Source organism: Homo sapiens, chromosome 7 (assembly GCF_000001405.40).
Source record: "Homo sapiens chromosome 7, GRCh38.p14 Primary Assembly".
Taxonomy (NCBI): Eukaryota; Metazoa; Chordata; class Mammalia; order Primates; family Hominidae; genus Homo; species Homo sapiens.
This window is the reverse complement of record NC_000007.14, coordinates 98987472-98999957: the sequence shown is the minus strand read 5'-3', so window position 1 is coordinate 98999957 and position 12486 is coordinate 98987472. Positions and strand designations below refer to the sequence as shown.

General features: G+C 47.0%; 1 protein-coding gene and 1 pseudogene across 3 annotated transcripts in view; one reads left to right on the top strand and one right to left on the bottom strand.

Annotated features, from left to right (window-relative positions):
• The window catches only part of TRRAP (transformation/transcription domain associated protein), a 134710-nt gene that overhangs the window by 13284 nt on the left and 108940 nt on the right, over positions 1-12486 (bottom strand). For 2 of the 3 annotated variants that reach the window (NM_001244580.2, NM_003496.4), the window contains 5 exons: positions 10992-11193; positions 9339-9503; positions 7731-7821; positions 6221-6366; positions 5110-5371 (listed from right to left, as the gene is read on the bottom strand). In NM_001244580.2, the coding sequence (NP_001231509.1) occupies positions 5110-5371; positions 6221-6366; positions 7731-7821; positions 9339-9503; positions 10992-11193 (866 nt within the window). Of the gene's footprint in view, positions 1-5109; positions 5372-6220; positions 6421-7730; positions 7822-9338; positions 9504-10991; positions 11194-12486 lie in introns of all 3 variants that reach the window. The other variant, NM_001375524.1, reaches the window with a different exon arrangement.
• Positions 30-1617, top strand: RNF14P3 (RNF14 pseudogene 3; annotated as a pseudogene).

The following is a 12486-nucleotide window of genomic DNA, read 5'->3' as shown; positions in this document are numbered from 1 at the left end:
TTGTTATTAACAATTCCTCATAAAATTAAATGTTGTCAGAAGACTGAGAAGCTCAGGAGGTGAGCTGCTGGCCCTGGCGAGTATTTAAGATGGAGATGAATTCGGAAAAGCAAAGCCTGTCTGAGGTGGAGAAATCAGCATCGATCGGGATTTGCCACAGAACTTCAAGTTATTTGTGAGCGGCAATTCAGATGAGTGCCCCCAGAATAGTAGCTTTGAATATACCATTTGCTTTCTCCCTCCACTTGTGCTGAACTCTGAACTGCCACCAGATTATCCATCCTCCTTCCCACCTTCATTCACACTTAGTGGCAAATTGCTGTCACCAACTCAGCTCTCTGCTCTATGCAAGCACTTAGACAACCTATGGGAAGAACACAGTGGCAGTGGGATCCTGTCTGCCTGGATGCAGTTTCTTAAGCAAGAGACCCTGGTGCACCCCAATATTGTCTCTCCCTCTGAGCTCACGATAAGTTCTCAGGAAAAAGTGCCGAGAAGGATAGCTCAAGCCCCTCCCATCAGAGCTAGATTTTGGAGGAGCTGCTGGATCTCATGTAGATCAAGAGGAAATTGTGGATGAGAGAGCTGTGCAGGATGTGGAATCACTGTCAAGTCTGATCCAGGAAATCTTGGACTTTGATCAAGCTTAGCAGATAAAATGCTTTAATAGTAGACTGTTCCTGTACGACATCTGTTTCTGCGAGAAGCTGGGCAGTGAATGCATGTACTTCTTGGAGTGAAGCCTGTGTACTGCAAAGCCTATCTGAAGGACTGCTTTGAAATCCAGATCAGAGATGGCCAGGTTCAATGCCTCAACTGCTCAGAACCAAAGTGCCCTTCGGTGGCCACTCCTGGCCAGGTCAAAGAGCCAGCGGAAGCAGAGTTCTCTGCCCGTCATGGCTGCCTTCTCCTCCCATCCACCTTGGAGCTGGTGGCAGATGTGGTGTGCTGCCCCCGCCTGTGGGGGCCTGCAGGGCCTGGCTGTACCACGGGCATCTGCTCCAGCTGTAACTTTGCCTTCTGTACCTTGTGCAGACTGACCTACCATGGGGCCTCTCCATGTAAGGTGATGGCAGAGAAATTAACAGACTTACAAAACGAATACCTGCAAGCAGATGAGGCCAAGACAAGATTTCTGTAACAGAGGTAAGGTAAGAGGGTGAGTCAGAGGGCACTGGAAGAGATGGAAAGAAAGGAGTGGCTAGAAGAGAACTCGAAGAGATGCCCATGCTGTGGAATTCACATAGAGAAGTGAGGTGGATGCCATGTACTGGCTGCAGGCTCTATTTCTATTGGGTCGGCATGGGTTCTCTCTCTAGCAACCCCTTACAAACATTTCGCCAACCCTACTTCACCGTGTTGTAACCGGCTGTTTCATGCTTGGATATGAATGGAGACATTGGGGAAGATGAGATTGAAGACTAGTTAACTACTGCTCGAGCTATGGAAGTGGATTGGTTTTCCCTAATCTTTCGTCAAGTACACAAAGTAACCTCACAGGATATTTACAGTACTATTCATTCACTCTTCCTGTGTAGAAGAGATGGAAGAACATGGCTTATATTTTCATCTGGTGAAGGAGCATTCATACTTTTTTTTAATGTAAGTTGAGAAAAAAATTCTAAGCCAAAGGTTCAGAAAATGAAGCTACAGAATATTAAATATTATAATGTGCTCAAAGCTCTGAAAAGTTAAAAATTAAATATTTATTTTCTTCCCCAAGCTTTAGGTAAGGAGAAGAGGGGTCAAGAGTTAAACTTAGAGCCCTTCTGTCTCTGGGAAGCACCCCTGTAAGACACTGTGTTGGAGCTCCCTCAGTACTACTCCCTACAACTGGGGTGGGTAGAAAAGCCTTACGGAAATTATACTGAGAGCCTGATGTACTTCATGTTACTCACATTCCTTCCAGCCTAGGTTTCTGCCAAGTCAGTCCTCTTTGGAGGGAGCCGTTTAGTCTGTAACCGACTGGATGGTGCAGCATCATTTTGATCTACTGCTTTTCAGAATATAAACTTATAATAATTAAAAAAATGTAATACCACAAACACTGTGGATCACTTGGTATTTATTAGTGGTGTATGTGGTCCACTGGTTTCAGGCCAAATCTAGAATTTAGTGATAATGACTCAGGAAGAATTTAAGTTCGATTCAATTTTCCTGGGCAGTAGAGCCTAGACTTAAGGTGACTTGTCTTTGCTACGTTTGTTCCACATTCTCTTTCTTTACCTTCTGCGTGTGGGGACAATTTTAATATTAATTCCAGCAACACATGATTTTATTTCCTCTGCTGGACTAGGAGAAAGCCTAATATATTTCCAAGCTGAATGTTCCTGAATTATCTGCATTTTGAGCCTGTCTATACCACTGTAGTTCCACTCTTAACTTTCTGAATTCTTTTAAAAGATCTTCTCTAACAAGCTATGGGAATTCGGCTTCCTACTCTAATTTTTTTTTTTTTTTTTTTTTTTTTTTTTGCAACAGCAGTGTTTTGGGTGATAATTTTGGACTGATACCTACTCCTTTTTCTGGATTTTGTTGCCTTTTTGAAAAACTGTCTTTCCTTATAGTTAGGTGAGTGGCTTGGTAGTAAAGTAAGATTTTTTGGAAAAGGGGACAGAAAAACTGAACTGCAGCTTGAGAACATATTCTTTTTTGAGACAGAGTCTCACTGTTGCCCAGGCTGGAGTGCAGTGGCGTGATTTTGGCTCACTGCAACCTCCGTCTCCCAAGTTCCAGCGATCCTCCCACCTAAGCCTCCTGAGTAGCTGGGATTACAGGCGCACGCCACCACGACAGGCTAATTTTTGTATTTTTAGTAGAGATGGGGTTTCACCATGTTGGTCAGGCTGGTCTCGAACTCCTGACCTCAAGTGACCCGCCCACCTCGGCCTCTGAAAGTGCTGGGATTACAGACGTGAGCCACCGTGCCCACCAAGAACATACTCTTTTTTTGTACTTTGTCATTGAAAATTGAGGAATCCTTTTTAACTGTTTTAGGTGTGTGTCCACAGAGTCAGCAAAGACTATGTTTCTGGATTGTCAAAGAGGATACTTAATCTTAAAAATAAAATTTAAAATCATCTTATAATTAGAACAGAGTTGCTGCTATTTATTCTGTCACCAAGGCAACTAATCACATTTTTAAACTGTTCGGCATATAACATATTATTAAGAGGAAAAAGGTCACAGAATAGCATCTCTTCTTTTTACCTGGGCTAGTGACTGAGCTTAGGTTTGAAGGCCCATATTTTGTTTTAACCAGATAGTTTCATGCACTTCCATTCAGGACATTTTGTATAAAAATTGAAGTTAATTTAAAGAATAAGTTGAAGATAAGAAATGAAAATTAAAATGATTTGTTCTACAATTTTAAAAATGCAGTAATTAAGCTTTTAAATGTGAATGATTTAATCTTTCTTTCATCTCTGGGAAACTGTACCAGACAAATCTCGTTTTCACACAGCAATCACTCATGTGCTGCAATCACTCATGTGCTGACACTTGAGAGATGAAGGCTTGGGGAAGTTACTCAGGCAGCTGAAGCCACATCCTGGGACCAGGAGCTCTCAGTGAGAACCTGGCAAGAGAGCCCGCCACGCGCTTCTCTACTAGGGAGCCCGCAGGTAAGTGGGATGGAGGCTGAATGAGGAGTAAGAAGCAACGTGTTCCAGACAGCACGAGAAGCAGCTGTGCCTGTGCGCACCGCGGTGGATGTGGGTGTGCACAATGGGATGTGGATGCGCAGATGTGATGTGGGTGTGTAGATGGGACACAGTGCATACGCGGGGACACGCGTGTGTAAATGGGATGTAGGTGTGTATGATGGGATGAGGGTAAGTAGATGGGACGTTGGTGTGTAGATGGGACATGAGGATGAGGGGACGCAGGTAAGTGGATGGGGTGTGTGGACTAGACGGGGGAGTGTGAATGGGACAGGGGTGAGTAGATGGGACGGGGGTGCATGGATGGGATGGGGGTATGAGGATGGGATGGGGATGCGAGGATGGGACGGGAGTGTGAGGACGGGATGGGGATGCGAGGATGGGACGCGGGTGTGTAGATGGGACAGGGGTGTGTATGATGGGACATGCGTGTGTAAATGGGATGTAGGTGTCTATGATGGGACAAGAGTAAGTAGATGGGACGCGGGTGTGTAGATGGGACATGGGAGTGATGGGATGCAGGTGATAGGATACAGGTGAGTGGATGGGGTGCATGGACGGGACGTGGGTGCGTAGATGGGACATGTGTGTGTATGATGGGATGGGGGTGCAAGGATGGAACAGGGGTGTGTAGATGGTGGGGGGGGGATACTGTGGGGTGAGGATCCCTGTTTGACAGAGGAAGAAACCTGGGCTGAAGGAAATTGGACTCCTTTCCTCACATCACAACATAAGAGGCAGAGCCAGGAGTTAAGCTGTGAGCCTAGGAAAACGCATTAATCTGAACTACAGACAAGCATTGAAAATACATCTCCCTATTACGATGCCCAGAATCCACAGTGAGCTTGCACTTAGCTCGTCGCTGCAGGCCCTGCCCCTATAAATCCTACTGGCTCACCCGGCGCCATCTCCCACCGGCGCACCCAGACCCAGTCTTCCATGGGCCCACCGGACCCTGTCTCCCACTGGCCCGCCAGACGCTGTCTCCTACTGGCTCACTAACACCATCTCCCACCATCCCACCTGGTGCCATCTCCTACCGGCTCACCCGGCCCCATCTCCCACCGGCTCACCAGGACTCTGTCTCCTACTGGTTCACACTAACAATGTCTCCCACCACCCCACCCTACCCTGTTTCCCACCAAAAACAAGTGAAGGAAGGGTCTCAGGAAGGCAGGAGGGCAGGAGGGCAGTGTGGCCTGAAACCATGCATTTTCTACCCCGTCTTGGATCCTGGCAGCTCCTGCTCCAAACCTTGACCCCTCCCTGGGAGAAAAACATGTGGTCTCAGCTATGCACTCTGAAGTCTGCACTGTAAACAGAGTGTAACCAGTGTGCCCCGTGCAGTGATCAGAAAACCAAGGATCCAATCAGCTTCAACACTAAAGCCGGAGGAAATCAGCGTGCACAATTCTCCCTATGGAAGGGAAGGAAAATGGAGACTCACCCGTCGTGAACTGGCCTTTCAGCTTCTGAAAGACAGGGTCTTGTGCAGTGGCCTGCGCCCGCCGGGCCAGAGACTCAGAGGCTGCGCTGGAGAACATGGTCGAGACGTTGGACACATTCTCCAGGCCCACCCCAAACGTGCTCACCAACTTCTTCACAAAATTGAGAGTGTGGGGGGTGATTTTAGCATCGGACACCGCTCCACTTTTCTCAAACGCCACGGAGTAACATTTCGCCAGGCCCTGTTGGAGCTGCCTGAGAACCTGGTAGAAAAGAGCCAGAGACAACTGACAAACACAGCCCTCCACTCCAGAACCAGCAGCCAAAAGCGCCTATTGAGTGCGGCCCTCCCAGCCCAGGGTCATCTCTGCACTCCCCGGCAGGACCCACACACAGCAGGCATGAAATCGGCGTGTGCAAGAAACGGGACGCCTGTGCATGCCACATGGGAGCAGGCGCTTTTGACCTTGGGGAGTAAGGGACCTGAACATTCAAAAAGCGAAAACAGAAAAGCCCCACTTTTTTGGATCATACACCCGTCTGCGATTAGCCACAAAACCCCTGCATTTTCAGGCAGCTGTACTGTTCCCACCGCGTGTCTGCGTGCACTGTGCACACACGAGACTTCACAGCAGTAAGGAGCTGGCCCCGGGGCTCAACCAGGTAAGCATCTGGGCAGTGAGGCGTGGACTATTCTGTCATCAGCTTAAGCCAACGTTATTAAGGAAGTGGTCTGACTGCTGAAAAGACCCCACATCCCTACAATTTCCCATCTATGGAAATTATAACCCTGTTACTCATGCCACTGCTCCTGCTCACACCTGGTTAACAGTGGCACTCAGGTCACTGAGCTCAGGGACATGAGCACGGCCAGCATTTTAACAGCAAGAAGTGGCTTCCTCAATTCCACCCTCTTTCATGTCTTGTACTTTGAATCTTTAAGGCTGTACTAGTGTGCAGAGATAGCTATTTGCCTGGTCCATGGTTAAGTTCAACAACAAATATATAAAAGGACCGGCAACTAAAGCTCAAGGGAAGAGAGCCACAGAAGCATACAGAACACCACGTCCCCTCTACAAGGAGCCACCATGTGCAAGATCAGAGCCAAATACCTCTTCATGCCAATTTTCTCTGAACCAGACCATCTGATCGACGATGCCTTCCAGGGAAGACAGAAGGGTGGGGTGGAGCTCTCGCTGCATGTGCATGATTCGGCTGCAGCGCCACATGGGTGCTGTTGCTCTTATGGGCCCTGGATCTGATGCAGAATGGGACTGGTTACCCACTGAACTTGGCTGCTGCTGTCCAGAATCTGAGAGCAACACACACAACGCCAGTGTCAGCGCAAAACCGACAGACGCCAGGGCTCGGAGCGCTGCAGGACCCATGGGCCAAAGGAGCGCTGGTTCCTGCCGGCGTGTGAATCCCTACAAGACCGCTTCCCCAAGGACTGCGTGGGAGAAGGCCCTGGTTCTAGGCGCAGGTGCGCTGAGGGACGCGGGGAGGGACAGCGCAGTTGTCTACAATGCGGCTTCAATCCATTCCATTAAATAAACCCGTGTATGTGTTTTAGGAGGATGCAGATGTGACAACACGCCGCCTGGTGAGTCCAGGTGAGGGCGCACAAGAGTTCCCTGAGAACTCCTTTTAACGTTTCTGTTACGTCTGATCATCCTAAACATAAATGTTTGGAAAAATATCTCACAATCTGTTACACGTTCCTTGCTACTATAAACTCAGAGAATCTAAAAGCAGTTAATAGGAAACTGGTTTGGAAAGCCAAGCCAATTGCAAAATACTGCTTTTGAAAAATACGGTCATTTTTCCCTGTGAGATACATTGCAGAGCCTTTAATGACCATTTTTTTCTGAATTTACCTCTCTACACTTAGTCTTAAAACTAAAAAACCTTAATTTTCAAATGACCAAGACATGAAGCCACCTAGGCAGACTGACTCCCCAGAGGTTAGAGCTGAAATGTGCCATGCAGCCCTCATCCACCGCCTCTCACCAACCACACACGGCCCACGGCCCTTAGGAGACTCAGCATTGAAAACAAGGGGCAGTAAACGGTCGTCTCATTATTTAAAGCACCCTGCCTAGTGGGTAACTGAAGCCATCAAATCAGTTGTTGCTTTGCATACAAGGGCTATTCAATATAGATTAAAAGTCTTACACTGTGAGTGAAATTTCACCAACATCTGGTAAGACTGACTTCAATGCTGATTCTTCTCACAGCTGAAGATACTCCTCATAACTTAAACACACACACACACACACACACACACACGGCAGCTGGCATCTGCTGTGTATTGGGATGCACTTACTACTAAGGAGAAAGGTAAACTTTACAGTTTTCTGAAGCTGAAAATTTCACATATTTTCTCTACCTATAGATCAAATCACTCGGATAAATGAACGCTTATTACATCCTGGCAAAAGAGAGACTGTACTCAGATCAGACTTTGCTTCCTGCCCTACGGTGCTGCCCACTGAGGAGAGATTGGCCACGGCTATGAGTGAGCTGCAGGGCAGGGGTGGCTGCGGTGGTCTGTCTGGATGTGGGGCACCCCCTGGAATGAGCCCTTCCCGGCCTGGCCTACCGGCCCCACCCGAGACGTACCGCTCTTGTAGCGTTCCCGCTGTTCTATTTTCAGGGTCAGGTACAGGGTCCGGATGGGAAAGTAGACCGCTTGGGGATACACGCGTCCAACCTGCTCAGAGACAAGATGTTATAAACAGTGCTGCTCTCTGCTGAGCTCTGGATAAAGATAATTTGTACTGAAAATAACCAATGTCAAGTCAGAAACAGGTGTCTGATCTGCCTTTGGACCAAGGAAGCAAATACTGCAGCACTGATCTGACGCACAAGGCCAGGTTCAACAGCAGGCAAAATATTTAATTCACTTTAAAAGAGCCAAGACACATCAACACATGCATTTCATCAACTCCACCCAGGAACTGTGAGTGACAGGGAAACCACGCTTTCCTTCCAGGCAGTAAATCTGAGGAAGGCAAAATACATGTGTCCCCAGATCTCACTGAAGCAAATAAAAAAACAAACAAATACCAGCTAATCTGTCAGGCACAATTCACTGTGGATTGTGAACTAATTCCATTATCAAATAACTTTATTCTGCCTAACTGCAGCTGGGAGGAGATGGAGGGATGTCCGTTTCAGTTAAGAAACTCCCATTTGATTGAACTGGAGTTCTGTGGCTGACAGGACAGTACCATGTCACTTGAATCTTTCAGAATGTGCCCATGAAAGGAAGAAAGGAATAACATCTAAGCCGTCACAGGCAGAGGCGGCTGCTCTTGAACCTGAGATGCTCCAGAAGTGATGAGACCAAGTAGGTCGGACCTGCATCCTGAGGATAAGTGCTACACAGAATGCTGGGACTCAAAAACACAGCTGCCTCCTCAAGGAAAACCAGGGCATCGCTCAGGGCCCACATAGCACAGGTGCTGCGTGCAGGAAGGAGCCAGAGGAATGGGTGGGCAGAACGCGCGGGCCCAGCTCCTTCCTGAACACCTTCACGGACTCCTGCGGTGCTTCGTGATTTTACAAAAGCAACCACAAAGGCGCTGTGTCCCAAACCTCACTGTAGCCACGCTTCCGCCGTTTCTGGTCCTTCCTCTATGCCTGGGTCTTTTCACGGGAGAGGGACATCCTGGAATCATTCTCAAGAGATGGTTATGAGAGCCTTTCCATAGGGCCCTGGGCTGTCCGCTTCCCCGGCCTGGCCCCACTGCCCTTGAGAACCATGGGTTCCTTATGATGCAGCTCAACTGTCGAAAGGGCGACAGCCACAATTGGGCATGTTTTAGTTTAAGGGCAGCTCCGAAGAGCTCCCAGCATATGACAAAAAATCAGAGGAAAACTACCAATCAGATTCAGGGCTCACTGTCATTCTCAGGGTACCCACTGGCAATTGTATGTTTTACTACAAGTTTATTTTACTTACATTATATATGGGAAAATGTTTAAGAAATTAGAATTTTAACACTGAACTGCTTTATTAGCTATTTCATTTCAACTCTGATATATTCTTTAATAACTTTTAATTATGCTTTATATTAAATAATATCTACATGATTATATCTTCCCATCTCTTTAACTTGTTTTTAATACTTTGAACACTCAAATTTACTTTCTGGGAGAAAAAAGAACGCAAAATGAAGACACAATGTTTTGTGCACGTGAACAAGGCCACCCTGCTCTTCCCACCTGGCTAATGAGGTTCAAGAGCAGCTTTCCCTCCGAGCCAACCAGGCAGGTGAGCAGCTGTGGGATCCAGGCCAGCCACTGGATGGGTGGCACACCAATGCAGTACTTGTCGACGGCATCTGCCAAAGTGTTTTTGTCATCATCAAAACTCAAAAGCCACAGCACCTGAGACAGAAGGAGAAATTCTAGAGTAGAATGACAATTCTGAAGCCCTCAAGCAAGAGACTTTTTCCCCAACATTACAACACTGTATAGAGCGGCTTTACTGGCCATGTAAAAAAAGTATCTATAAGCAGGCCAACATTATTGCTAAACTTAATGTAAATCTTACAGTATATAAAACCTAAAATTTAAAAATAGATTTTCTCTTTAGTTTTTTTGTGTTTTGTTTTTGAGACAGTCTTGCTTTGTCACCCAGGACTGGAGTGCCGTGGTGCGATCTTGGCTCACTGCAACCTCCACCTCCCGGGTTCAAGCAATTCTCCTGCCTCAGCCTCCCCAGTAGCTGGGACTACAGGCACACACCACCACGCCTGGCTAATTTTTGTATTTTTAGTAGAGATGGGGTTTTGCCATGTCGGCCAGGCTGGTCTTGAACTCCTGACATCAAGTGATCCACCCACCTTGGCCTCCCAAAGTGCTGGGTTTACAAGCGTGAGCCACCACTCCCGGCCTTTTGATTTAGTTTTAATGACAATTACTCGCTGATCTAATCCACTGACTAGCACTGACCAGTGACCGACTGCAAGACAGCAACAGGAAGATGCCTGGGGCCTGCCCACCCGTTAACCTACACTCATGATCTCATCCAAACAAAATGAACTTTTGCTAAAACTCTCAGATGCTCATCACCCCGGCAACAGGTAGGCCACAGGCTGGCAGCCAGGTGTCCATGGACGACTGAAACAATTACATCTGGGTGTAAGCAACCCGGAGCCAGGCACTGAAGCAGTGCGTGTAGCTGTCTCTGTAGTCGGCTTTAACTGCCATGTGCTGGTGTACATTCCAAATTTTTATGTTAAATCAAGGAATTCTAAAAAATCCAAACCTTTAATGGACAAAATAGGAAAGGGAACAATTTATTCTTGGGTTTCCTGCTGGAATTAATTCTGGGTTTTATTTGTCTGCTTCTTGGGGGAAGACAGGAAGCCACATGAAGGGGGAACCTGAGTGTCAAGTGCACATCCTTCAGTGAGCACGTGGGTGACACCCACCCTGAGCTCAGGGCTGCTGGGGGGCACGGTGCAGAGAGAAACCCACAACCACCCCAGCACGCCAGCTCTGTGGCTGTGCTGACAACAGCCCTGCAGGGGAGGGATGACAACCTAACGGGCGTCTAGGAGGGAAGTTCTAGCTCCACATCCCCTCCTCAGCCCTCTGTTTCGTGTGAGCTCCCACAGGCAGTGCTAGACTTGGGCTCTACGTGAGGCTTTGCCACTTGGAAGTTCTGGGGCCCTAAGAGTGTCCAGGCCTCAGTTTTCTCAGCTTTGAAATGGAACTGTGAAAGATACTTCGAACAGTGATGAGGATTAAGAGTTAAGGCATGAAATCATGCCTCACACCCGGCACGGATGAGTAAACTATAGCTAAATTTCTGTCCAAATCTGAAGGTGACAGATGGCCTCTGGTCAAAGCTCGTTTTTTCGGTCTCACCTTGGCTAAGTATTTCCTCGATTTGCTCTCGTTCTGATGCCGGCAGGCGTGCAGGTAGCAGGTGATGGCAGACACGCCCAGGTGCAGCTGCCGCTCCTTCACAAAGATGTTCTCCAGGTAGTCGCCCCACATGGCCCAGGCTTTCACCAGCACATCGTGCATCTGCACAGCTGCAGAGAAGGCTTTGTTTGCCTCCTCGGACCTGTGAGGAGACAGAAAACCAAAACGTGTATGGTTTTCAATTGAAGCGAGCTTCACGTAATCTGAAATTAACCATTATAAAATGAACACTGCGGGGCATTTGGTCCATTCACAATGTTGTGCAACCGCCCCATAAGCAGTCGCTCTGAACCCCTCCCACCTCCAGCCCCTGGGAACCTGCAGTCTGCCTTCTGTCTCTGTGGATTGACCGGTTCTGTACATTTCATATAAATTGAATCATACACCATGTGATCTTTTGAATCTGGCTTCTTTCACCTAGCACAGTGTTTTCGAGGTTTATCCATGTTGAAGCCTGTGTCAGTGCTTCATTCTCTTTAACAAGTGAATAACATTCCATTGCACACATAGAACATAAACATTTTGTTTATCTGTTCATTTGTGTTGTTTCCACATCTTGATTATTGCAAATAGTCCTGCTACAAACATTCCCGAACAGGTATCTGTTTGTTTCAACACTTCTGGGTGTATACCAGGGAGTGGAAATGCTGGTCACGTGGGAACTCTATGCTTACTTTTTGTGGAACCGTCAAACTGTTTCCACAGCAGTTATACCGCTTCACTATTACACCAGCAATGTACCAGACATAGCAAGGGAACTTCAGACCCAGGTGCTTTATGATACAGACGCAAACATCCTCGACAAAAATGAGCAACCCAACTCCAGCAGCGGATTAAAAGGATTATCCATCATGACCAAGTGGGATTTATCCCAGCAATAAGGGTGGTTCAACACAGAAAACAAAAAAGTCAATATAAATAAAACCAATCAATGTGATATACCACATTAAAACAATGAAGGAAAAAAAACACAATCATCTCAGAGGACACAGAAAAAGCCATTTGAAAAAAGTCCAACAACATCTCATGATAAAAATACCCAGCAAATTTAGAACAGAAGGGAAGTTCCTCAAGCTTATAAAAGGCATCTACAGAACACCCACAGCTAACATCATACTCAAGGCTGAAAGACTGAATGGCTTTCCCCAAGATCAAGAAAAAGACAAGGATCTCATCTCTTTAATTCAGCACTGTACTTGAGGTTCTAGTCAGGGCAATTGGGAAGAAAAAGAAATAAAAGGCATCCTTATTGGAAGAGAAGATGTCAGTCCATCTCTACCTGCAGTTGACACGATCTTATACACAGAAAAGAAGAATCCCCAAAAAGCTATTAGAGCAAATACACTCAGCAAGGTTGAGAAATCTAAGATCAATATACAAAACCCTGGTATTTCCAAATGTTAGCAATGAGCAATGTGAAAATGAAGAAAATGGC